Raw genomic sequence first — 27,920 nt, 5'->3', positions numbered from 1 at the left:
GACAGATTGTGTGATATATCTCAAAGAGTGCAGGACTCTATCCAAAGATTTGGGTGTACTAAGAAAATTTGCATTAGGACCTCAATTTTTTTACCTTCATTCTCTTGGGGTTCAAGAGGAATCAGAGCATCCATTTTCTCACCAATATGCAGAACTAATGAAGACATATACACAATGATGTAGCAGATGGAGGTCAGCATGTCACCTTCCTTACTGACAGTCAGTACTGGAGTGGTGGCTTAGGTCTACCAGCTAACAGTCCCTACCTGATGAATGCAGGCCTTGAGGCAGCCCACACAGGGGAAAGCTAGTGCTCAAGGACAGACACACTCCACAACACCTGGGTGAAGACAGCAGAAAGAGACCTACATCTGAGGCCTTTTATCCGGTGAGTTCCATACACTAGAGAAATGTGGCCAATGGCTGCACCCACCAGGCAGGAAACTCACTCCATTACCAAGGAGAACAGTATGGATCAGGGCAAGAGGCCAGGGGTACTTAGAGAAAGTCTTTGTTGAAATAGGAAGGGGGGTGATAATTTAAGTAGGCAAGACATTGTATGATATACAGAGAATCTACTGATCTTATTTCCAATAAAATATGGAGTATTTTTCTCTCAATTATGAGGATAAAATTCCTGACATACATGACTTACAGGGTTTTTATAAAGCCCAAGACAAGGGAAGAAAAATGTATTACTAAACTGTAAATATCACTGTTAATTCAGATACCATCATAATTCACATACAAGCATCTTGTGAATTTAAAGTTTATGTCCTGTCACTTGGGGCTGCTTCCTCTGCTACACAGCTTTCCTTAGCAAGTTCCTATTCAATATGACAAATTATATAAACTCTCATATTGAATGGAAACTCACTAAGAATAATTGACATGTTAAATGGGAAATAGCTAAGGAAAATAACATTTACTGGGAAGCTCCTCTGTGCCAGGGAAACCTGACACATGTTATTCATTGACCTCATGGCTGTCCTTAGGCATTAGAGAATTCCTTGGCTCCTGGGGTCATGCCCATGTTCACACGGCTAGTGAGAATGAAATCGGAAAATGCAGATGCCACTGGATAATTGATTTGGGATGATTCTGAGCCTTTGAATTTTTCTATTCTGGAGATTAGGAATCAGGAATTCTCTGTGTAACACACCTTCACAAACGGTCTCTCTCTCTTTTTTTTTTTTTCAAGACAGAGTCTCACTGTGTCACCCAGGCTGGAATGCAGTGGCACAATCTTGGCTCACTGCAACCTCCATCTCCCAGGTTCAAGTGATTCTCGTGCCTCAGCCTCCCAAGTAGCTGGGATTACAGGCGCACACCACCACACCCAGCTAATTTTTGTATTTTTAGTAGAGATGGGGTTTCACCATGTTAACCAGGCTGGTCTCAAACTCCTGACCTCAAGTGATCCGCCCACCTGGGCCTCCGAAAGTGCTAGGATTACAAGAATGAGCCACCGTGCCAGAGCCCAAGGTTCTCTTTAAGATGGATTTTTAATTATTAAAACCCAAAAGTCTTAAGTTTCATTGCTTCGCCTTTTTGATGACTTTGAATGCAGCAAATATCTTTCCAATGAGCAAAAGACAGTTCCATTTTTATTTTTTTATCACTGCAGTTGATTACCTGCAGAAATACAGGCTGAATTAATTATTAAGTATTTCACTTGTTCCAGGAATTCTTTCTTTGTAAATCATTAGAGAACTATGACACTCTGACGCTCAATTCTGTAAATGTACATTTACCCTGACTCTTTTGTGTCCCACAATATCCAACATTTCAACAAAGAACATTACCTGCTAACTTTATTAATATACATTTTCTTCCCATGAACACTTCCAGAAACCAGCTGCTGCCCAAATAAAATTATTAAGTCCCAGCCAAATGTGTCAAATATGATTATTTGTTAGAGACTAAGTGATAATGGTGGTATGAACTGCAGAGTCACACTTTGAAAACTGCCCAAGAAACTGTATGATGTGCAGAGAACATGTGTTTCACTAGCTATCTTTAGTTTTCAACTGTGTCTTCAGTTAACACTGTGTCTTCAGTTAACACTGTGTACTGAAGTACCATGCACTGTGCTGATCAGAGTATATGCACTTTCTCTAATCTTCACAACCACCCTGCAGTGTAACTATCATTATTCCCATATCTAACACAAGTAAACCGAGGCTCCAATGAAGGTAAATGACTTGCCCAATGTATAACTCAGGTGCACTGTCCTCCTCTTGCCTACCGCCTGAGTCCATTCAGGCTGCTATAACAAAAATACCTTAGACTGGGTGACTTAAACAGCAAACATTTATATCTCGCAGTTCAGGAGACTGGGAAGTCTGAGATCAAGTTGCTTGTAGATTCGGTATGTAGTGAGGGCCTGCTTCCTGGTTCACAGACAGCTGTCTTCTCGCTGTGTCCTCATAGGGTAGAAAAGGGTGAAAGGGCTCTCTGGGGTCTTGCTTATAAAGGCATTAAATTTATTCGGGAGGGCTCCACCCTCCTGAGCTAATTATCTCCCAAAGGCTCCATACTTCCTAATACCACCACTCTGAGGGCTAAGATTTCAACCTATGAATTTTGGGAGGAACTACGGAAGGCAATCATCTATCAATCTTACCTTACATATTGAAAGAGGCATTTTTCTCTCCCTCTCCCTCTCCCCACAGTCTCCCTCTCCCTCTCTTTCCACGGTATCCCTCTGATGCCGAGCCAAAGCTGGACTGTACTGCTGCCATCGCGGCTCACTGCAACCTCCCTGCCTGATTCTCCTGCCTCAGCCTGCCGAGTGCCTGGGATTGCAGGTGCGCGCCGCCACGCCTGACTGGTTTTCGTATTTTTTTGGTGGAGACAGGGTTTCGCTGTGTTGGCCGGGCTGGTCTCCAGCTCCTAACCGCGAGTGATCCGCCAGCCTCGGCCTCCCGAGGTGCCGGGATTGCAGACGGAGTCTGGTTCACTCAGTGCTCAATGTTGCCCAGGCTGGAGTGCAGTGGCGTGATCTCGGCTAGCTACAACCTCCACCTCCCAGCAGCCTGCCTTGGCCTCCCAAAGTGCCGAGATTGCAGCCTCTGCCTGGCCGCCACCCCGTCTGGGAAGTGAGGAGCGTCTCTGCCTGGCCGCCCATCGTCTGGGATGTGAGGAGCCCCTCTGCCTGGCTGCCCAGTCTGGGAAGTGAGGAGCGCCTCTTCCCGGCCACCATCACGTCTAGGAAGTGAGGAGCGTCTCTGCCCGGCCGCCCATCGTCTGAGATGCGGGAAGCGCCTCTGCCCCGCCGCCCCGTCTGGGATGTGAGGAGCGCCTCTGCCCAGCCGCGACCCCGTCTGGGAGGTGAGGAGCGTCTCTGCCCGGCCACCCCGTCTGAGAAGTGAGGAGCCCCTCCGCCCGGCAGCTGCCCCGTCTGAGAAGTGAGGAGCCCCTCTGCCCAGCAGCCACCCTGTCCCGGAGGCAGGTGGGGGGTCAGCCCCCGCCCGGCCAGCCGCCCCGTCCCAGAGGCAGGTGGGGGGTCAGCCCCCGCCCGGCCAGCCGCCCCGTCTGGGAGGGAGGTGGGGGCCCGCCTCCACCCAGCCGCCGCCCCATCCGGGAGGTGGGGGGCACCTCTGCCCGGCCGCCCCTTCTGGGAAGTGAGGAGCCCCTCTGCCCGGCCACCACCCCGTCTGGGAGGTGTACCCAACAGCTCATTGAGAACGGGCCATGATGACGATGGCGGTTTTTGTGGAATAGGAAAGGGGGAAAGGTGGGGAAAGGATAGAGAAATCAGATTGTTGCTGTGTCTGTGTAGAAAGAAGTAGACATGGGAGACTTCATTTTGTTCTGTACTAAGAAAAATTCCTGTGCCTTGGGATGCTGTTGATCTATGACCTTACCCCCAACCCTGTGCTCTCTGAAACATGTGCTGTGTCCACTCAGGGTTAAATGGATTAAGGGCCATGCAAGATGTGCTTTGTTAAACAGATGCTTGAAGGCAGCAGACTCGTTAAGAGTCATCACCACTCCCTAATCTCAAGTACCCAGGGACACAAATACTGTGGAAGCCCGCAGGGTCCTCTGCCTAGGAAAACCAGAGACCTTTGTTCACTTGTTTATCTGCTGACCTTCCCTCCACTATTATCCTATGACCCTGCCAAATCCCCCTCTGCGAGAAACACCCAAGAATGATCAATAAAAAAAAATTAATTAATTAATTAACTTAAAAAAAAAAGAAAGAGGCATTTTTAATTGAAGAGGATAGGAGTGGGAGCACATAAGAGGGGCGGATAAAAGAGGGAGTGACGTGCTGCAGAGAATAGAGCCCACATATAGGAATATGTCCAAGGCATGTGCTCAACATTACAAGATCAAGAAATAAAATGATGTGTCATTGGGTAGAAGCTGGGTTTTGATAGATGATTTGGATGTGTGCTTTCTTTTTTCTTACTCTTATTACTTAATTGTGTGGGCTAGGAAGCAAGTTCAAAAATAATAGCTAAAACCTTGTGGATACTCTTAAAAATCAATTTACATAATGTAAATAAATTTCTGCTGATCAATTCATGTGGTAACATAAAATTTTAACTTTAAAAAAGGACTAGTTTTACAAAAATATTTCATCTTCAATCAAAGCCTATTTGACGAAAATCACATATTTGCCAACCCAGATGTTATTTATATATAAAAACACACATAAAAGTGCAACAGTAGGTATTTTAATTTAAATAGGAACTATTTTATAACCTATAACAATGTGGATAAGAAAGTTCCTTCTCAAGTTTCCCTGGTTCGTTTCCTTTGTAATACTTTGTAAAGTGCTAGTTTACATTTAAAAAGCCTAGGATTTCAACCAATACAGTTTAACACTATATTATCTTGGCAAAAATGCCATCATTACTGACTGAAAAAACACAGAAATACCACGAGGCTAAATGTTAATGGTATGGTAAACTGGCATGCTGTTACACTGTGAAATGGCAGTGAAGCATTTATTAATTCCTTTTAGAATTGTTAGTGCCTAAATAAAAGGCCATGCCCAGGTTACCTGATGGGTATTTATTATGTGTGTGGGAAAGAAAGGAAAGTCTGAAACCTATTTCGGCTTCATGGAGAGCTAGAAAACTCTTCCTATTCATGATAGGATGGGAACTCAGAATGCTAAAGAAGTGCTGGAGACATGGGCATTTTGTCATCCTCTCTGGAGCCAGCTCTCTCTTACTCCCTACTCTGCTGAGCACACCACTCTCATGACCCAGCTTCCCTGTCAGTTCCTCCCTCTAGTCTCTGGTTATACACACAGAACCTGCTTCTACTGCCTTCTCTGGAAATCAAAATGACCAAGAAAGAGAATCTGATTAGATTCATAGGCATCATCCAACATGGAGCCTTTCTGTTCACATCACATCACATCACATCACCTCACAGGCTGCTGGGCTCTGGTACATCTAGACTATGCAGAGTTGCTCTGGGGATAAGAAAGTGTTGGATCACACAGAAGAAACTGCTTCTGGCCACTTTATTCTAAAGGGAAAACAAGCATGTCAAGTTCCTTGCCTTGCCTCTAGTTCAACTATAAAAAGAAATGTTAGCAGAGTCAAAAATGAGTAAAGATAGGTCGTTGCCTTCACAGAGCAGACAGTTTCAAATTATTAATAATGGGCTTTGAGTGGAATGACATTTAGGTGTCTTCACAAGAGTTTTACATTGTCCTTCTACCTTAGCTAATAGAGCCTTCTTCTCTGAGCAATACAGCCTGTTCCCTTCTCAAGGTACTTGAAATTAAGTGTTCAAGCTAAACTTTCTTCTCCTTGAGGTTCACGGGGGGATTCATTACTTTACAAAGAGACTGCATCAAGTTTACATGTTAAAAAGAAAACATCCTGGTCTCAGATGGCTTATAAAATAGATACTAGAAAACAAAGATTTTTGCAACCAACATAACTCTCTGAAATTAAAAAAGTAAAAACAAATCTCATCTCTAAATTCACTTAAATATCCTTCAAATAAATCAACTAATTTTTGTCATGTTGCTAATTAAATATTCTCTGAGAATGTTTACCTGTGTCAACAAAATAGACCTCATCAGTCTTCACCTCACATCTTATGATTATTTTACATCCAGTGCCACCACTAAACTGCAAGCTCCTTGAGGCTAGGAGTGGCGTCTTTCATCTTTGCAGCACCGGATCTAGCCAAGAATACGTGTTCAATGCATGTTTTTTGATTGAATGAGTGAAGGTCTTTCCTGGTTTAGTTGCTTTTAAAAATAAATGTCATTTGGGCCGGGCGTGGTGGCTCACGCTTGTAATCCCAGCACTTTGTGGGGCTGAGGCAGGCAGATCACCTGAGGTCAGGAGTTCGAGACCAGCCTGGCCAAGATGGCGAAACCCCATCTCTACTAAAAAAAATACAAAACTTAGCCAGGCGTGGTTGAGGGTGCCTGTAATCCCAGCTACTCAGGAGGCTGAGGCAGGAGAATCGCTTGAACCTGGGAGGTGGAGGTTGCAGTGAGCCAAGATCATGCCATTGTACTCCAGCTGGGCGACAAGAATGAAACTCCATCTCAAAGTAAATAAATAAATGTCGTTTGAATTCTAAACAGTAATCGATGTGCATTTAGGCTATTAGATTTCAAACAAGTGCTAAACCAAAGATGACCTTCACAGGAGCAATCATTGAGGAGCAGAAGGCAGACTGCAATGAGTAAGCAGAGTTAATGTGAGGTAGCAGTGAATGTGGTGTACAACTTCTCAAAGTTCTACAATAGAGTAAGTAAAACAGAAGTTAAAGGCATAGGAAAAATAAGGGGTACTTTTTGGAGAAAGAGTCAGCCAAAGACAGGAGAGTGATGGATCAAGAGTAAAAAAGAACCATCGGAAATGGCAGCATATTCTCTTTCACTTGTCTGTCTTCTAAATTTAGAACAGTTGTTCTTTGAATTGAAGAAATGTGAAAGTATTTTGATAGTCAAAAAAAAAAAGGCAAAAAAGACCCTCCCACTTAATGTCCTTAAAATCAAAGTCTTTAAGGTGGGGCTATTCCTATATGCAGTATAGTCACTTATTTTTACAAACAGCCTTGAATCTACTATTTCAATGATATAGGGACAAAAATACATAAAGCATATGAAGTGTATTTGCTTTCAAGTAAAAAGCTTTTAGTGCCAGTTTCATTTGGAAAAAAGCGAATTATATTCTGGAATAGAATATATTAAACTATTTCTAACTTAAACCTCCACCTCAAAACTACAAATTCTGAGATGTAACAAAGTATTGTCAAAGAATAACGTAGAAGACATTTAGGGCTCAGATAAAGATGTTTGGGATTGAGCTCCCTTAGTCCCAGTGGTCCTTCCAGAGTTTCCTCTGCTCCAGATTAAAATGTGGAAATTTTAGAATTAAGTACTTCACAGCCCTCTAGTGGCCACTGCTCACCACTGCAATTTAAATTTGGATCATCTTGACTCCAGCAATCTCCCTGCAAATACCCTCTTCCTCCAACAGTATGAGCAGGGACAATTGTTGCAGCATCTTGCTAAGTGCCATATAAGAGCAGACAGTGTCCTAAAGGTGAGAATTCATCAAGTTAAAAATTTCCTCCACCCTGGCACACATATTTTTGTAAATCTGAAATTTTTTCAATGCAGCAAACAGCAAATGACAATCAGAGCAGGCCAAATTCAAGACAACTAACTCCAAGGATGCACTAAGGGACATTACTACAGCAATATTATCTCTTCATTGCTTTTATTTTTCAGTTTAACAAACCAAAAAAAAGATTTACAAAAAGAAAAAAATTCTTTCAATAGGTGAAAACATCAGAAACAATTCCTAGGCCAGCAACTACTCATTTACTCATATATCTCACTTTATGGCTTATCTGTTTCAAGACACTTCACTTCACTTAGCTCTCTACTTATTTTTCTTCTCTTTTGTTTTAGCCAAAGACATAAGAATACATGTTATAGAATATAAGTTTTCATTTATTTATTTATTTATTTGAGACGGGGTCTCACTCTGTCACCCATGCTAGAGTGCAGTGGTGTGAGCTTTGCTCACTGCAGCCTCCACATCCCGAGCTCAAGCGATCCTCCCACCTCGGCCTCCCAAGTAGCTGGACCTACAGGCATGTGCCATCACGCCTGGCTAATTTTTTGTATTTTTGGTGGAGACGGGGTTTTGCCATGTTGCCCAGACTGGTTTTGAACTCCTGAGCTCAGGCGATCCACCTGTCTCAGCCTCCCAAACTGCTAGGATTACAGGCATGAGCCACCGCGCCCAGCCAGAACATATTTTCTTTTGGGTATAAATTGGGGATGGGAACATTGTTCCTAATTTCATCATTAATAGAATTCTTTGTGTACTCTTTTCCTTTATGTACCTATAATGGACAAAAGTTGTAACTATTGCCTAGAGTAAGCATTTTCCCTGCATTTCAAATATGTTTTTTAGTTGACATGCCCTAGTTTATTCAACCACTCCCTCTTATTATATTAGGTATTTGTTTGTAGTGTTTTGCTACTACAAATAGTATATTACTTAACAATTCTAAAAATGTACCTACTTGTGAACATTTTAATTAAGTGAATGCCAAAAAGCTGATCAAACTTAGGGTATATTATTACAAAGTATTCTGGACAAGAAAACTACTTATATGTCCTAACACACACTTCCATGACCTAGAATAGTCTTAAATTGTAATAAACTTGCCCAAAACCAAGGTCCCATCCATCCCAGGATGATGAGGCTTGACCAAGCATCCTTTCTGGGAAATATTCTTTAATCTTTCAAATGACAATCTCTTAAATCAATCAAGTGATGTATTACATGGGATAATCTAACAGTGCTTATCACATATAAACACTTAATAAATGTCAACTACTCATGCCTGTAATCCCAGCACCTTGGGAGGCCGAGGCGGGCGAATCACAAGGTTAGGAATTCGAGACTAGTCTGGCCAACATGGTGAAACCCCATCTCTACTAAAAATACAAAAAATTAGCTGAGAGTAGTGGCGGGCACCTGTAATCCCAGCTGTTCGGGAGGCTGAGGCAGGAGAACTGCTTGAACCTGGGAGGTGGAGGTTGCAGTGAGCCGATATCACGCCACTGCACTCCAGCCCAGGTGACAGAGTGAGACTCCATCTCAATCAATCAATCAGTGTCAACTATTGAGATTTTCCATCTTGCATTTCTTCAACATTAGTGGTGAACCAAAAAGGAAACAAGTAAGGAAAGTTTGGAAGCAAAACTGACATCTTGTCCTACCCCATTATGAGTATGTCATATCACAACACACAGTGAGTGGCAAAAAACTAATACTTTGCAACCTATGATGACTCAGAGAGGCATCTCATCCAGTGAAAGTCCCCTAAATCAATTAAACTTTGAGCATTTCCTGAAAGGTACTGCAACCCTAACAAACAATGTTATGCCTGACCGCAATCTCTACAGATATACCATAAAAGCACTATAAGCTTGGTCATGTTGGGAGGAAAACATTTCATCTGTCAACTTAGATCTGAGTGGTCTAGGGCCTGCGAATTAGTTGAAAATACATTAACAGGAGAAAAGTTTATTCTCCATGCCTGAGGGAGCACTCTGTAAGGAGTCACTTCCCAAACAGCCAGTGGTAAGGGTTTATATACCAACTGAGGCTTCAGTGAGAAAGTATAAAAGGTTCTGATAAGACTCATTTACACAACTTTATTTTTTAACGTCACGTTTGTAAACATCTGTCACCTCGCTGTCTGGAAAGTCCCTCAGAAGGAGTTGATGATAGCAGAACTCTTGGACAGGTCTGCTTTCGGTCAGATAAGGCTGCTTTCCGCAGCGATTGTTTGTTCCAATATTTTCAGTTTAAAGTAATCTTTATGCCTTTCTGGTGGTGATATGGTTTGAATATTGGATATCTGTCCCCTCAAAATGTCATGTTGAAATACAATCCCCAAGTTGGAGGTGGGGCCTACTGGGAAGTGTTTGGGTGATGAGGCAGATCCCTCATGAATGGCTTAGTGCCATCCCCATGGTGATGAGTGAGTTCTGGCTCTGGTATTTCACATGAGAGCTGGTTGTTTAAAGAGCCTGGCACCCCCCGACCCTCTCTCTTGCTCCCTCTATCACCATGTAAGATGCATGCTCCCCCTTCACCTTCAGCTATGATTGTAAGCTCCCTGAAGCCCTCACCAGGAGCTGAGCACATACTGATGCCATGCCTATACACCCTGCAGAACTGTGAGCCAATTAAGCCTCTTTTCTTTATAAATTTCCCAGCCTCCAGGTATCTCTTCATAGCAATACAAATGAACTAACACAGGTGGGTATAAATTGGGGTTAGGAGGTGGGTTGTTCGTTCCTTCACTTCCCCCATTTGAAACTTCACATGAAGTTTCACAAATATTTGGATTATTTCCTATGTAGAAAAGACTCATATTAGGTGCTGGGAGGTAAGAGATCTGCAAAATGAAAGAAGAACATAGATTACAACAGAGAAAAATCTGAACACACTGGTCCATATTCTGTTGAACCAGTCTCCCAGTCGTGGGAATAGGTCAGTTCAGTTCAGTTAATTGGACTATGCCTTATTTACCTAACGTAGAATGTTGACCTTTCTTTTTTTTTTTTTTTTTTTTTTTTTTTTTTTTTGAGACGGAGTCTCGTTCTGTCGCCCAGGCTGGGGTGCAGTGGTGTGATCTCTGCTCACTGCAAGCTCCGCCTCCCATGTTCACGCCATTCTCCTGCCTCAGCCTCCCAAGTAGCTGGGACTACAGGTGCCCGCCACCATGCCTGGCTAATTTTTTGTATTTTTAGTAGAGACAGGGTTTCACCATGTTAGCTAGGATGGTCTCGATCCCCTGACCTCATGATCCGCCCGCTTCGGCCTCCCGAAGTGCTGTGATTACAGGCGTGAGCCACCGTGCCCGGCCAACCTTTCTTTTTAAATGATATAGATTAGACACAATTTTTCCTTTCTAATTTATATAGAAGTAGCATTGTTGCCAGTGATTGTACAAGCTCCTCTCTGTTGGGCAGTCAGCATATCTAGGACACAATTTTGGAGTGCAACAGAGGCTACACTGCTAACTTGTAAATGGCAGGCTTCCCAGTCTGTATAGTGGCACCAGATGCTTGTTCATTACTTTGGAATGCTTAGGATTGTTCTTTCTACATCGTACATTGCCAGGCTTTGGAAAAGCATTCTCATTACTGAGAACTTAGGGTTGCAATACATAAGTGCGTTGTCTATGATGTCTCATCAGGTGCATCTACATGGCATTAATTTATATATAAAAGAACCCCAGTTGTAATGTGGCTAGCATTCAAAGTGGGATATCTGGTAAGGGAAGGCACCAGATATCCAACTTCACATTTCTCTGACCACTTAGGTGGGAACCTTTTATATATCTTATTGCTACATAAAAATGAGACCAGGCCAGGCACAGTGGCTCACGCTTGTAATCCCAGCACTTTGGGAGGCCGAGGCTGGCGGATCACTTGAGGTGAAGACCAGCCTGGCCAACATGGAGAAATCCTGTCTCTACTAAAACTACAAAAATAAGCCGGGCATGGTGGTGGGCACCTGTACTCCCAGCTACTCGGGAGACTGAGGCAGGAGAATCGCTTGAACCGGAAGGTGGAGGGTGCAGTGAGCTGAGATTGTGCCACTGCCCTCCAGCCTGGGTAACAGAGTGAGATTCCTTCTAAAAAAAAAAAAAAAGAGAGAGAGACCAGTGTTGTTTACAGACAAGGTCATAGTGGTGGAACCTGTGAACAACCAAGTTGGAATTCTGTGTCTTTCACAACCCTTATCATCAATCATGTTGGCATCTGCACATCTTCACTTCCAATGTGCTTCTGTTAGGCTATGAGGGTAAAACAGGTTGTGAAACACCTGGCAGAGAAACCCTTTAATTTAGCCTTGGTTACTATAGAAATGTATTTTATTTATTGACCAAGTTAAGGTCCATCCATCCAACTATAGTCATGGGTGCTGGTCAAGCCAACTAGGGGAACACTTGAGCTATTCCATATCCCACTACTTTTTCCTACAAACCAGGAATATTATCCTGTAATCTGACATTCACTCACATTGAAATACTTAGTTATAATCCAAGTAACAATGACAGTGGAGGGTTGTTTAGTGCCATCTGTGAAGCCAAATCACAGAATTTGATTGCAATACATTTTTGAAATGTTACCCAGAAAAGGTCCAGTACTGTATTTATTTTCAATGTAGAGAGATTTCCTTCCAATAGTCTTACTTGGGTAAAGCACTGACCTTGAGCTTCCATGGAGGCTTCCCAGTGCCAAATTAATCTACCAGAGGAGGAGACAGAGTGACTTTGTCTTCCTGCTTATGGATACCATATGCTTTTATATATCCATTGTCCAGAATGGGTTCACCAGGTATATTTACATTGGTAGGAACAAAAACTCTTCTGCATTATGTAGATGTTAACCTAACCAGTAACCAGATTAACTATTTAAGGTGGCCAGGCTTTGAAAGATTGGAACAAGCAGGTGTTGGGGTAGTGCCAGAATTGTCAAAAAACAAAAAACAAAAACAAAAAAAAAACAGTTAAGGGTTAGTTGAGGCAAGATCCACTTTGAAAGGGATACCAATGTAGAGGAACAGCATGGAGAACAGAGAGGTGAATGGTGGGGCAGTATAAGAATACTTGCTTTGTCAATTAGGATGGCAGCTAAGTCTATTGCATATAAGCATGGAGGAATGCCTGATGCTACTTAACATGAGAAAGGTACTGTGGGACATATCTAGGTTGACATGAGAAATATGTTATGGGACAAAAAGATTGTCCTAAGATACCCACAACAATCCCATCATTTTCACAGTAATATAGGTAAAAAAGATTGTCAAAGTTGGGTAGTCGAAGGGCTGGGGTGTGGACAATGCTTCCAAGGAGGCTGGTGCCTCAGAGTACCAGGTAAAGTGCTCTGTGGTTGTATCTAAGAGGACAGCATATAAAGGTTAGACATGGGCAGCAAAATTGGGAATCCATTGGCAATATCCAGTTGCTCCTAAAAATTCACGTAATTGTTTGTCTTTGAGAGATAATGAATAAAATTGATTCAAGGCATTTTGGGACGAGTTTTTGAGTACCCTAAAATATTTTATGGCCTAAGTAGGTAAGAATTTTTTGTACCTGTTGGCATTTGGACCTGGAAGATTTATAACCTTAGTCAGTCAGTGCCTTAAGGTGAGTAAGGGAGTCCAGAAGAGCACCCTGTTTGCTTTGGTTGCAAAGTAGCAGGTCATCAACATATTGGAAACAAAGGGAACCTTGAGTGATTGTCATAGAGTCTAATTTGACTTTGAGAACTTAGAAAAATATTGAGAGGTATTCACAATATCCTGGAGGTATGCAAGTCCATGTTAACTGTTTCTTCTTAAATTTGAGGCTGGGCACAGTGGCTCATGCCTGTAATCCTAGCACTTTGGGAGGCCAAGGCAGGCAGATCACCTGAGGTCAGGAGTTCAAGATCAGCCTGGCCAATATGGTGAAAACCCATCTCTACTAAAAACACAAAAATTAGCCAGAAATCGCTTGAGTCTGGGAGGCGGAGGTTGCAGTGAGCCGAGATTGTGCCACTGCACTTCAGCCTGGGTGACAGTGACTCTGTCTCAAAAAAAAAAAAAAAAAAGAAAGAGAAAAAAATAAAAACTTTAGCTGAATTAAATTTGAAGGAGTGAAGCCAGGTGCAGTGGCTCACATCTGTAATCTCAGCACTTTGGGAGGCTGAGGTCAGGAGTTCGAGACCAGCCTGGCCAACATGGCGAAACCCTGTCTCTACTAAAAATAGAAAAATTAGCTGGGCATGGTGGCATGTGCCTGTAATCTCAGCTACTCAGGAGGCTGAGGCAGGAGAATCGCTTGAACCCAGGAGGCAGAGGCTGCAGTGAGCAGAGACTGCACCATTGCACTCCAACTTGGGCAACAAGGGTGAAACTCAATCTCAAAAAAAAAAAAAATTAAAGAAGTTTAATTGAGCCATGAATGATTCAAAATCAGGCAGCCTCCTGAGCCAGAATAGACTCTGAGACTCCAGCACACCTACGCCATGGAAGATGATTTATGGACAGAAAAAGGAAAGTGACATACAGAAAACAGAAGTGAGGTACAGAAACAGTTGGCTTGGTTACAGCTGAGCATTTCCCTTATTTGAATACAGTTCAAACAGTTGGCTACATTTGATTGGCCAAAACTTGGTAAATGGCACAAGTGTAAGCTACGGTCTGGTTATATTCCACTTGTTACAGTTCACGATGTACAGAAAAACCTTTAAGCCGAACTTAAAATATGTAAGAAAGCAGCTTCATGCTAAACTTTATTTCACAAGAGGAAGTGTGAATCAAGGTACAATGGTATCAAGAAGAAAGCTGAGCAGAAGTCCTTACCTCAATGCAGTACAGCACATTAACAGAATAAACCAGGCTGCACCAGCAGGGATTGAGGTAAGGATGATGGCTGGGCTAAGAATTATGGGATGGTGAGGAATGACATAGGAGTTCATGGCTATTAGATCTTGTACAAATTGAAAAGTATGATTACCTCCTGAATCAAATTTCCCTTCTTTCTTTACTAGCAAGACAAGGGTATTGCAAGGTGAGAAGGTAAAAATAAGGACACCCCATTATAAAAGGGGGGCCTATTATAGTTTCAATTCCTAATTCTGCATCTCCAGATAGGAGGTACTGAGCTACAGATAAGAAAGGATTATAAGAGAAGACTATGAACTATACCAACAAACTGGATGACCTATAAGAAATGGATAAATTTCTAGAAACACCAAACCTGCCAAGACTGAATCATGAAGAAATAGAAGATATAAATAGACCAATAACTAGTAAGGAAATTGAGTTGGTAATTAAAAACCTCCCAACAAAGAAAAGCCCAGGACTAGAAGACTTCACTGAAGAATTCTACCAAATATTGAAGAATTAACACTGGCCAGACGTGGTGGCTCATGCCTGTAATCCCAGAACTTTGGGAGACTGAGGTGAGAGGTTCACTTGAGCCTAGGAGTCTGAGACCAGCCTGGGCAACATAGCAAGACCTACCTTGTCTCTGCAAAAAAAAAAAAAAAAAAAAAAAAAAAAAAAAAAAATATATATATATATATATATATATATATATATTTATCTATTATATTATATATATATAAATTAGCTGTGCATGGTGGCACATGCTTATAGTCCCAGCTACTCAGGAGGCTGAAGCAGAATTGCTTGAGCCCAGGAGTTAGAGGCTGCAGTGAGCTATGATTGTGCCGCTGCACTCCAGCCTGGGTGACAGTGAGACCCTGTCTCCAAAAAAAAAAAAAAAAGAATTTACATCAATCCCCCAAAAACTGAAGAGAAAGGAATACTTCCAAGGTCATTCTTTGAGGGGCAGCATTAGTGTGATATCAAAGCTAGGCAAAAATACTACAAGAAAAAATAAATAATTACCCAATATGTCTGATGAACGTAGTCAAAAAAATACTAGCAAAATAAATTCAACAGCACACTCAAAAGATCATTCACCATGATCAAGTGGGATTTATCCCTGGGATGCAAGGATGGTTCAACATATGAAAATCAATGTAGTACACCACATTTACAGAATAAAGGACAAAACCCACATGACCATCTCCACTGATGCAGGAAAAGCATTTGGCAAAATTCAATATCCTTTCACACACAAAAAAAGAAAAGAAAAGAAAAAAAACACTCAAAAGTGGAAAGAGAAGGAAATTACCTGCACATAATAAAGGTTGTTTAGGAAAAGTCCACAGCTAACGGCATACTCAGTGAAAAACTGGAAGCTTTTCCTCTAAGATTAAGAACAAGGCAAAAATGTCTGTTCTGGACACTTCTATTCAACAGAGTATTGGAACTCCAGTCCAAAGCAATTAGACAAGAAAAAGCAATAAAAGGCATCCAAATTGGGAAGAAAGAAGTAAAAATTTCTGTTTGTAGATGGCATGATCTTATATGCAGAAAATCCTAAAGATTCCACCAAAAAAAAAAAACAGGTTAGAACAAATTTAAAAATTCAGTAAAGTTACCAGATACAAAATCAACACACATACAAAAAATCAGTTACATTTCTATACACAAATAGTGAAAGCATCTGAAAAAATTAAGAAAATGATTCCCGTTGCAATGGCATCAAAAAGAAAACAATTCTTAGAAATTGACTAAGGAAGTAAAAACTTATATAATGAAAACTATAAAACATTACTGAAAGAAATCAAAGAAGAGATAAATAAATAGAAACATCTCACATTCATGGATTAGACTTAATATTATTAAGATGTTAATATCACTCAAAACAGTCTACAGATTCAATTCAATCCTTATCAAAATTCCAATAGCATTTGTTGCAGAAATAGAAGAATTCATCCTAAAATTGATATGGAATCTCAAAGGGCCCTAAGAGTCAAACAATTTTGAAAAAGAAGAATAAAACAGTGTGGTACTGGAATAAAGACAGATATACAAATCAATAGAACAGAATAAAGAGCCCAGAAATAAACTTGTGTACACATGGCCAACTGACCTCCAAGAAGAGCTCCAACAGCACTAAATGGGAAAAGGACAGTCTGGTCAACAAATGATGCTGGGAAAACTGGATATTTACATGCAAAACAATGCAGTTGGACCTGTTTCTTACACCACATACAAAAATTAACTCAAAATGGACTAAAGACTTAAACCAAAGACCCAAAGCAATAAAACTTCTGGAAGAAAACATAGAAAAAAATCGTCAGGACATTGAATGTGGATATGACACATTCCACATTCTTGGATATGACACCAAAATCACAGGCAACCAAAAAAAATGGACAAATGGGACTGCATCAAACATAAAAACTTTTGTTCATTGAAGGACACAATAGTGAAAAGGCAACCTACAGAATGAGGGAAAATGTTTTGCAAATCATATTTGATAAGATGTTAGCATCCATAATATATAAAGAATTCCTACAATTCAACAACAAAATAATCAAATTACTCTATTTTTTAAAATGGACAAAGCAACAAAAACAAAAATTGACAAGTAGTACCTAACTAAACTAAAGAGCTTCTGCATAGCAAAAGAAACTATCAACAGAGTAAACAACCTATGGAATGGGAGAAAATATTCACAAACTATGCATTTGACAAAGGTCTAATATCCAGAATCTACATGAAACTTAAATTAACAAGCAAAAAACAAACAAGCCCATTAAAAAGTGGGCAAATGACAGGAGCAGACACTTCTCAAAAGAAGACACATGCGGCCAACAAGCATTTGAAAAAATGCTCTACATCACTAATCATCAGAGAAATGCAAGTCAAAACCACAGAGAGATACGATCTCATATGAGTCAGAATGGCTATCATTAAAAAGTCAAAAAATAACAGATGTTAGTAAGGTTGTGCAGAAAAGGAAACACTTGGACACTGCTGGTGGGAATGTAAGTTAGTTCAGCCACTGGGGAAAGAGGTTTAGAGATTTCTTAAAGAACTTAAAAGTGAATTAATCATTCCACCTAGCAACCCCATTACTGGATATATACCCAAAGAAATGTAAATTGTTCTGCCACAAAGACACATGCACACATATGTTCATCATAGCACTATTCACAATATCAAAGACATGGAATCAACCTAGATGCCCATCAGCAGTGGACTGGGTAAAGAAAATGTGGTACATATACACCACAGCTATAAGAAGAACGAAATCATGTCCTTTGCAGCAACATGGATGCTGCTGGAGGCCATCATTCTAAGCAAGTTAATGTAAGAACAGAAAACCAAATACCACATTTTCTCACTTATAAGTGGGAGCTAAACATTGACTACACACAGATGCTAAGAAGGGAACAATAAACACTGGGGCCTACTTCAGGGTGGAGGGTGGGAGAAGGGGGAGGGTCAAAAAACTACCTATCAGGTACTATGCTCATTTACCTAGGCGACCAAATAATCTGTACACCAAACCCCCATGACACACAATTTATCCATGTAACAAACCTGCACATGTACCCCCAGACCTAAAATAAAAGTTGGAAGGAAAAAAAATAGACAAAAGACTTGAATAGACATTTTTTCCAAAGATGATATATAAATGACCAACAAGCATATGGAAGGATGCTCAACACCAGCAATTATCAGAGATGTGCAAATCAGAACCACAGTGAAATGTCACCTCACACCCATTAGGACAGCCATTAAACACACACACACACACACACACACACTAATAAGTGTTGGTATGGATGTAGAGAAATTGAAACCCTGTGCACTCTTGGTGAGATTATAAAATGGTGCAACCATTATGGAAAACAGTATGGCATTTCCTCAAAAAATTAAAAGTAGAACCACCAAATCATCCAGCAATCCACTTCTGGGTATTTACCCAAAAGAACTCAGAGCAGGGTCTCAAAGAAGTATTTGCATACCCATGGTTACAGCGGCATTACTCATGATAGCCAAAAGGCGGAAGCAACCTGTATCAGTCAGAATTCTCCAAAGAAACAGACATATATATGATATCTCTGCATCTATGATATAGATATATCTATATAGATATCATGAGACATCTATATTAGATGATTAGATATATAGAGATGATACAGATACATAGATACCATATATGAGACATCTACATATAGAGACATTGATATATATATGAGACATCTATTTATCTATGGGATTGATATATAGATATCATATCTATATGAATTATAGATACATAAGAGGAGATTTATTATGGGAATTAGCTCACATGATTATGGAGGTCAAGAAGTCCCACAATATGCCATATGCAAGCTAGAGAACTAGGAAAGTTCATGCTGTAATTCAATTCAAGTCCAAAGGCCTGAGAATCAGGGAAACATACAGTGAAACCCCAGTCTGAGTCCAAAAGCCAGGGAAGCCACTGGTATAACTTCTGGAGTCTGAAGGCCTGAGAACCAGAAGCTCTGATGTCTGATGGCAGAAGATGGATGTCCCAGCTAAAGGGCACAGGGGTGGTGGGGAGATAACTGGTCCTTTCTCCACCTTTTTGGTTTGTTCTGGCCCATCCACATTGATGAGGGCAGATCTTCATTATTCAGCCTGCCAATTCAAATGCTAATCTCTTCTGGAAACAGCCTCACTAACATACCCAGAAATAATGTTTTACCAGCTGTCTGGGCAACCCTTTGCCCCGTCAAGGTGACACATAATTAAACATCACACAACTCAAACATTTGAAGAAAAATGGATGGATAAACAAAATGTGGCATATACATACAAACGAATAGTCTTCATCCTTTTTTTTAAAAAAAAAAAAGGAAATCTTGACATGTGCTACAACATGAATGAAACTTAAGAAATCATGCTAAGTGATGTAACCAAGCAAGAAAAGACAAATACTTATGAACCCCTTTATATGAGGTAATATAAGTAGTCAAATTCATAGAAACAGAAATGGTAGCTGCCTGGAGCTTGGGAGTAGGGGGAAAGAGGAGTTATTTAGTTTTGCAAAATGAAAAAGTTGTGGAGATCTGTTTCACAACAACACAATTATACTTAACACTACCGGATTTCATAATTAAAAAATGGTTAAGATGGTAAAATTGCATTATGCATTTTTTACTTCAAAAAACCAGAGCACTGGTTGGGTGCGTCCTGCCCAGAGTCTGCAGCTGGGGTACTCTGAAAAGGAGAGCAACTACAGCCTCCCACAGCTGACTGCAGGAACCCATTGCTGCCAAACCTGGAGCAAGGGCCGCACCCAGATGGCCACCATCTGCCTCAACAACCACGAAGCTGTAAGAGTGGGGCCAAGTGGGCCAAGGTGCCCGAGCTCAAGGAGCACAACGGGCAGGTAAAAGGCATCAACTGGGCCTCCAAGAGTAACCTCATCGTGACCTATGGCACAGGCCACAAGGCCTCTGTGTGGACGCTGACGGGCCAGGAGGGTAAGCCCGCACCCACTGCCTGCTGTGTGTGCTGGGCCCACAGGACAAGTTTGCTGTGGGCGGCAGCTGTGTGTCATCGCCATCTGTTATTTCCAGCGGGAGAATAACTGGTGGGTGTGCAAGTACATCAAGAAGCCCATTGGCTCCACCATCCTCAGCCTGGACTGGCATCCCAGCAACGTGCTCCTGGCTAATGCCCCCTGCGACGTCAAGCATGGGATCCTCGGTATACATCAAGTGCGTGGAGGAGCGGCCGGCACCTCCACCATGGGACTCCAACATACCCTTTGGGGTGCTGATGTCTGAGGCCAGCGGTAGGTGCGGCTGGGTGCTCAGGTTGGCTTCTCAGTCAGCGGGTGCCTCACGGCCTGGGTCAGCCACGACAGCACTGCGTGCCTGGCTGATGCCAACAAGAGGAGGGCCTTGCAACCCTGGCCCCCACCTTCACCACAGAAGGCAGCCTGGTGGCAGCAGGCGACGACTGCTTCCGGGTGCTGTTTTACCCTGGCGCTTGGTGGGTGGCTGGATGGACAAAGCCAGGTAGAGCCGGCAGCGCGGCTTGCGGCCCGCCAGACTCCAGAGCCCCGAGCGAGCGAGAGGGCGGCAGGGCCCCGGGAGCGGCCTCCACTCGCCGCACAAGCACAGTCTCAGCCGGGTCTGGCCCAGAGCTGCGGTTCTGCGCCCCAGGCATGCCCAGCGCCTGAGGGAGGACCTCAGGACCAAGTAACCTGCGAGGAGCACGCTGCCCTCATCCCAGCTGCCAGGGAAGGGGCCCCGAGGGGCTCGGGGAGGCCGCCGCTCCGGGTGTGGCGAAAGTTCCTAGGGACCAGTAGGAGACCCCGTAGGGGCTGCTCACGCAGAAGGCGGGAGAACAAGTGGGGCGCTCTTCTTACCTGTTCAAGGAACCTGTGCCTTTTTCTTGAAGAAATGCTTTCATTTATCGTAGAAAAAGAAGAGAAAAGAAAAAGCACTATGCTGGTGACAAACTGCTTCGAAGCATAAAAAGGTCATTTTCGAGGGAAAAAAATCATTTTTAAAAACTCTCCGTTTTTAAAAATATTAACCCAGGAATTTTATCAGATAATTCCTCTCCGACCCAAAAAACCTGTGGGTGGATAGGGACTGGAGAGCAGGCTGCCTCCCAAGCCCCATCCGCTCCTCCCGCCCAGCACGAGAACGTGGAGGAAGTGACTGGGCGCCCCGCAGATCTGCCACCTCCCGGTCTCCCTGCGCAGCTGGCCACCAGCCCAGCCTCCTGCCCAACCACCTCTCAGGGTACGCTCTATCCAGCCACCCTCGCCTTCCCCTGCAGGAACCCAGGCAGGGGGCGGGCCTCCCGGCTTCCTGCCCACAGGTGTGAGTTCCTGTGGGAGGGAAGCCTCCCCTCACGTAGTGGACCTGTGGTCCCTCGGAGCACGGAGGCACTGGCAGCGGAGAGCCCTGCCCACCCACAAATTCAGCCAATCGCAAATGGAAGAGGGCAGGACTTCCTTTAGTGCCCTATCAGAAGAAAGAAGGGGAATGCTGCTTGCCCAGTATTGGCTGAAATGAACTGTGGGTTTACCTTAAGTTACGGATTCTCCAGTGGTTAAACAACCAGGAAGAGAATGAACAGAATGAACAGAAAGCGACACTGCTAGGCCAGGTGAGGCAGAATAGTCTGGAGGCAGGGAACCTAAGGCCGATTCACACTGACTTTCTAGAACTAAATCAAAAGGAAAACCCCAACTTTCTACATCTAAGTAACAAAAGGACTGGAATACTCCGTTTGCAAGCACCCTCTTCCCTTTTCTGCATGGCAGACGGAAAATTGAAAGCATCTCTGATTGGCTGCTTTCTGCAACCAGACATTGGCATAGGAGTGTAACTTTGTAACTTCACTTCAGCCTCTGATTGGTTGCTTTCCACAACCAATGAGATGCTTGCATAGGGTGTAACCTTTGTAACTTCGGCCTCTGACTGGTTGTTTTCCACAACGACACTTGCATAGGGTTTAACCTTTGTAACTTCACTTCAGCCTGATGGGTTGCTTTCTGCAACCAATCACACTGATTGCAGGCCACTAATTAATTTACACAGGGTGTACACCAACTAACCAATGGTAAATCCCTAGAGGGTATTTAAACCCCAGAAAGTTCTGTAACGGGAGCTGTTGTGCCCCAGTGCTCCTGGGCTCCTACTCTGTGGAATGTACTTTCGTTTTCAATAAATCTCTGCTTTTGTTGCTTCATTCTTTCCTTGCTTTTTGTGTTTTGTCCAATTCTTTGTTCAAAACGCCAAGAACCTGGACACCCTCCACCAGTAACACAAAGACTAGGCTTGCAGGACAAACTCCATTTCCTTTTGTTGTCAATTTCTTCAAGCAGATTCAAAACTAAGTGGAGTAAGTAGATTCTGAGTTTATTGTTAAGATTTCTTTATTTACAGTACAAGTCTCCAAAAGTTCAAGGCAGTTATCTTTTAAATAACATGTCAATCATATAAAATAGCTAGAACCAAAGTAGAGAAATATATACAATACATTAAGTACTTTCAATATAGTGGCATTTTTCATATTAAATTAAAAGAGGCTACTATGATTTACAATGTCATTTCCCTAGTTTAAAATTCAACATGTCAAAAGACATAATGTACATTTTTTACAAAACTGACACAGCAGTATTAAAACTGCTAATGATTGTAGTTTTTATTTTTTCTATAATACACTGCACCTGTGTTACCAAAAAAAAAACAAAAACAAAAACATTGCACTAGATGGTTTGAATACTGCATAAGTCAGTATATTAACACTTGAGGAATAATGAATGGCCTGGTCCGTTTTATGATCAGGCTCATTCACAACAGTTTTCACTCTTCAAGCTCAGCAAACTCCTACAGGTAATTACTTTCCTTGGCAGTTTTACACAGGATCACTGCAAATGGGTAAAATGTCATGAAGCTGATGACCACAATGCCATCACAAAAGCTGATATCGATATAACCCTACTATTTACAATACCTAATAAGAGCCAAAGCTAGAAAATCACTCACTGCTAAATCATGGAAAAAATTATAGTTTGTAGGAAATTTTGAATATCTATAAAATATTCAATAGACTACAAAAGAGCTTGCAACAGCTTGTTCTCATTATTTTTCTTAGGTCAGAATTAGAAAAAAGTAAATCCTATTTTTTAATAAGTTTTGATGGCATCAAAAAGCTTCACATTTATAAATAAGATTTTTATACAAAGCAACATGTTACTGACATAGTTTTCTCTTGCTACTATCAATTATTCTCGGGACTCATGTTGTATGTTAAGGAAGGAAGTATTAAGATTTCTTCCTCATTCCTAAATTTTCAGAATATACTCTAGGCCTTGAAGGAAAGGGAAACAGTCATTCAATACTTAACACTGAGTAGTACAATATTTGAAATATATCTATGATAGTGGCCTAAACAAGAGCAGCAAGGGACCAGACATATAGTTCTACCACTCAATAGAAATAAATTGTATATTTCCCCTTCATTAATACTGTCCAATTTTAAAATGAGAGATTACCTTTGCAAGGCAGCAACTATTGTTTCAGAATGTATTATATTGAAAATTTTTGCCACAAAGTTACCTACTAGACTACAGTACTTTAAAACACAGTTGTTCAAGTCATGGGCAAGGAAAACAAAATCAACAGGACAGATTATTGTCAGAAGCCATTCCTGTGGAGCATTCCTGCTATGCACATAGAATTGAAACTAAAAACAAAGAAACAACCTAATTGCACCTAGGGGGAGACACCTTGTACTTCAAGTGCTCATGACTAGGGGAGTACAGGAAACAGACAGGAATAATAACCTTAAGTATCCTCACAGAAAAAATGAACAGAGACAAAACAGTGTTGGCATTTTAAATCAGATACAAAATCCATTGTTCCTAGACACAAAGTAAGTTAATAATGTTCCACATTTATTTTTTTACCTCTGTACAGCTCCTTTAATAGTCTTTGATTTCAAAACTAAAATCCTCAGTGTTTTGTGTATCTTCAAAAGGCACATACACGTTTTTAAAAGGGGCCAAGTGGAACTTAGCATCACATTAGTCATAAGTCCTTGGTCAACTTGCTTCCAGTTCAAAACAAACCACATTTTTAATAAGCACCAAATACCAAACTACTGCCTTGATTCTCTAAAGCAAATTTTCCACAATGTTCCTAATTCAAGTATTCATCATACTGTGTAACTGAACTTGTCCAGATTTCTTATTATGTGAAGGTTAATGTGCTATTATTATAGGCAGTCCAAAAACAGTGAAATCCTTACAACTTTATAAATCCCTAAATTATCCTTGTTACAAAAAGAAGTCAAGAGGAAATATTCTGGGGTTACAGTATTTCCTCAAAGATAGTTTACTACTTCTGATCACTTTTTAAAATAAACAAAAATGCTATTAAACAAGAAGTTCCTTACTAAGAATAACTTTCTTTTTTTGTTTCGTTTTGTTTTTTGAGACAGTCTTGCTCTGTTGCCCAGGCTGGAATGCAATGGTGTAATCCCAGCTCACTGCAGCCTCCGCCTCCCAGGTTCAAACAATTCTCCTGCCTCAGCCACCCAAGTAGTTGGGGTTACAGGTATATGCCACCATGCCCAGCTAATTTTTTGTCTTTTTAGTAGAGATGGGGTTTCGTCATGTTGGCCAGGCTGGTCTTGAACTCCTGACCTCAGGTGATCTGCCTGCCTAGGCCTCCCAAAGTGATAGGATTATAGGCGTGAGCCACCGCACTTGGCCTATTTCTTAACATTTCTTAGTAGTCAGAACTAGCCATTATGTAGAAAGTTGGAAAAGGGGATGTCCACAGTAGAAATTTTTTATTTTATAGATGCCACCTAAATTGCTGGTTATATTGAAAAGACACTTTACCTCTGTGAATAAAACAAGTGTTTCCTTCTCACTCAATTTCTTGGATTGGGCCTAATTTATTTTTTATATTTCAAAAATCTTTCATTAATAATTATTCCATTAGGGTTTAGTAACTACAGACTCATTTACTAATGATTTACTATGATACCCTAAAAATAGAGAAAAAACCCTAGAATATGAGCGTATGCAAGTAAGTGCAATTTAATATATGAATTGCACAAAAATTTTAAACAAGTTTTAAAAATATCTCTAAAAGGAGGCTTAAAGTTAATTGCTGTAGCCTCCTGTCTTCCACAGAGAAGACAAAATTTTAAAAACATCAAACATACTCAAAAACAGGCAAGCTGGAAAGATAAACAACATGACAGGATTCCCAGTTTAAGTCAAATTCCTCAATAAAACAATAAATGCCCACGTGTTTAACCGGCCATTAATGGAATAAATCAGAATTTTTGTAAAGGTTTCAGAAATTCTGATAATAAGTAACATTAAATTATTACAGAAAAACACAAAACAAATTCAGCAGCTCTACAAATGCTTTCTAAGTAGATAACATGTTAAATGTGATGCCAGGATAGTCAATTTATGAGACACTGTTTTCTTCTTAAAACAATTAAGCTAGCAAATTTAACCCATTTTTCACCCTATCTACTCATCTCCAACTTTAGCCCTTTGAAACATGTCTGTATTTTAGCTTAAGAAAATTTTCATGCCACTTCCCAACCTACAGACAGCTCCACAGGTATCAAAAACCAAAGTGCAAATTCATGGAGTTTTACCATTCCATTACGGACAGTCTAAACAGCCACAGAACTGAAAAGCCTTGGCATACAGTGGTGAACACGATGAAGAAATAAAACATGTAGCTTATTTTTGGTCCTTTGTTCCTGTCCCCTTTTCCTTCACAGTCCATTTCAAAATATGTGCTTGATTTCAGCAATTCAGACCCAAGCCTGTCCAGTGGTCTGGTACCATTAGGAAATACTTGTCCATTGCCTCACAAAACCTAGTCCTGTACAACTCCGGAGACACCACTGTTGGCATTTTACCTGAGATTATGAAAGAGAAAAGGGGGAAAAAGCTGTTATATAATTGATTGGGCAACTGAAGTCAACTGACCATGTTCTTTCATATAAACTGCCATAAAGATACACATGCAGAAGCAGTCTGAGTGGGCAGGAAAGGTTATCTGTTGTGCCACATGCCATGGGACAAAGTCCTACCTGGTACGAGTTTCTGTTTAAAAAGACTAGCTCCTGCCTAGAGATGAGCGATGTCTAAGAGCACAAATGAGGCTAACAGTGCTTAGAGAACTTGGAAGTCTCAAGTGTTAATTAAAGACAATCTCTTATTCAGAACATCTGGCTTTTTAAAAAATCTTTTTGAGAACCTCTGACATTTTAACACATATTTACACCCAATATTTCCCCACCTATATAATTCTCATTATTGTTTGGTCACTTTAGAAATGACAATGAAATCAATGATAACCACTTATTTTTTACAACTAAAAAAAAGAATCAGTATCCACTTTTAAAATTTTAACTGATAAGAAATACATGTGAACAATTTAAACAAAACAAAAATTCTCACCTTGTCCACCTAAAATTCCTGTTGATTTCACAACCATCTCAAGCTTTTTGTCCCATGTAAATGTTCGAATATAATCTGGGGGGTAGAAGGAGTGAAATTAGCAATAAAGCTATGTTAATAAATATAATCAAATGACAACAGCAATGACTATTACTACTACTTCTATGACAGTTAACTTTTATTGAGTGCTAACAATGTGCCAAGTGCTGTTCTCAGGGTTTCTCCACACTAATTTGTTTAATCCTCACAACAATCACAAAAGTCCTCATTTATAAGTGACTTTTTTAATTCACATATTTTTGGTAGAGATAATGAAAATGAGGAAACTGAGTAGAAGAGACTAGAATAAAAAACTTATTTTTGAAATTTCAAATGAAAGTTTGTGAAAATATTCAATAAGCTATTATTAGACCAGGTTCAATAGAATCTTTAAAATTTGACTCTGACTTCAATCATGAAATATAAGCAGGGTACTCATTGACTTACCTATAATTCCAACTACTAGCTCATTGCTAGTATCATCTCGCCCAACCAGCAAAGAATAATCTATAATGAGGTGGCTAGAAAGGAAATGGGAGTCACTATGGATCGAGGTTCTCAGCACAGCTTTGGAATGAGAACGAATATATAGAGGGTTGTCTCGAACCATCTTTAGGAGATTTTCATCTAGCAGGACCACATCACAACTCTCTTTTCCAGTGTCAGTTTTTACATTCCGATTCCTAAGAGAGCCCTTCAAATCAAAAACCTAGTAAAAAGAAAATGCTTTGTCATTTATGTACAGGTTGCCACAAATGATTAGTTAATGTAAGTAAATAAAAAAGGCAGAAAGACTCCTTATAGTCACTACCATTACACACACTCCAAAGTTTAACTGAAAATTGAATCATAATTTTTAAGTTTTTAAACGCATGGTGATATCATTGTACAGTACATAAAATACACAGTAACATAATTCTATCATTTAAAATTAACACCTAGGTACTCAATTACTGAAACGTTTCCGAAATACACTGGCCAATTTAATCAACTTCAAGATACATTAACAAGTAACTCCAGAAATACATCATTGGATCACAAAACAGTGTTAAAAAAAAAAAGAGAGAGATGCAAATAGTCTTAAGAAACATAGTTTTGATACCAAACTCTGGACAATTACTTACAGCAATGTAGAAGAGCATAACACAGGAATATTTGGGTGGTAGGAAAAGCAATGCACTCAAAGGACAGGGGACTTGAGTACCAGGACCAGTACAACCTGTAGTATATTCTACAGACCAATGCTGGTCAGTTGCTCCTGGCTCACTACAACATTAGGGAACTAGTGCCAGAATATAAATCAATTACATTATTAAGTATATTGTTTAGTTCAGCTGACATTTTTCTCATAGAAGGTGTTCTCAATGAAGAAAGCAGTGAACTGAATTACATTCTAGCACACGTTCCTTATCTTATCATAGACTGGAAACAGTTCAAGGACTAGCTCTTTGAACAGTACTGTTTTAGAA

General features: G+C 40.9%; 2 protein-coding genes and 1 pseudogene across 46 annotated transcripts in view, besides 2 other annotated features; 1 reads left to right on the top strand and 2 right to left on the bottom strand.

The window, feature by feature from the left end:
- Positions 1–21,366, bottom strand: part of PTH2R (parathyroid hormone 2 receptor) — a 134,815-nt gene extending 113,449 nt beyond the window's left edge. For all 8 annotated transcript variants that reach the window (NR_163994.1, NR_163993.1, NR_163991.1 and 5 more), the window contains exon 1: positions 20,821–21,366. The gene's annotated coding sequence lies outside the window, so the exon portion shown is untranslated. The remainder of the gene's footprint in view (positions 1–20,820) is intronic.
- Positions 3,447–4,247: an enhancer, noted in NCBI's record as "OCT4-NANOG-H3K27ac hESC enhancer chr2:209241536-209242336 (GRCh37/hg19 assembly coordinates)". NCBI's record gives its function as "activates a minimal SCP1, AML or CMV promoter by ChIP-STARR-seq in naive H9 embryonic stem cells {active_cell/tissue: H9 hESC(naive)}" and the evidence as "EXISTENCE:reporter gene assay evidence [ECO:0000049][PMID:30033119]".
- Positions 17,348–17,447: a silencer, noted in NCBI's record as "silent region_12290". NCBI's record gives its function as "represses an Ori minimal core promoter by ATAC-STARR-seq in GM12878 lymphoblastoid cells {active_cell/tissue: GM12878}" and the evidence as "EXISTENCE:reporter gene assay evidence [ECO:0000049][PMID:35858748]".
- On the top strand, positions 19,689–20,349 carry ARPC1BP1 (ARPC1B pseudogene 1; annotated as a pseudogene).
- PIKFYVE (phosphoinositide kinase, FYVE-type zinc finger containing) overlaps positions 22,312–27,920 on the bottom strand; it is a 92,691-nt gene continuing 87,082 nt past the window's right edge. For 37 of the 38 annotated variants that reach the window (XM_011510779.3, XM_047443667.1, XM_047443672.1 and 34 more), the window contains 3 exons: positions 26,899–27,160; positions 26,413–26,487; positions 22,312–25,868 (listed from right to left, as the gene is read on the bottom strand). In XM_011510779.3, the coding sequence (XP_011509081.1) occupies positions 25,753–25,868; positions 26,413–26,487; positions 26,899–27,160 (453 nt within the window). In that variant the 3' untranslated portion in view covers positions 22,312–25,752. Of the gene's footprint in view, positions 25,869–26,412; positions 26,488–26,898; positions 27,161–27,920 lie in introns of those variants that run through there. The other variant, XR_007070607.1, reaches the window with a different exon arrangement.

This window comes from Homo sapiens, chromosome 2, assembly GCF_000001405.40.
Source record: "Homo sapiens chromosome 2, GRCh38.p14 Primary Assembly".
In the NCBI taxonomy this organism is placed as follows: Eukaryota; Metazoa; Chordata; class Mammalia; order Primates; family Hominidae; genus Homo; species Homo sapiens.
The sequence above is the reverse complement of the archived record's forward strand: the minus strand, read 5'-3'. Positions and strand labels throughout refer to the sequence as shown.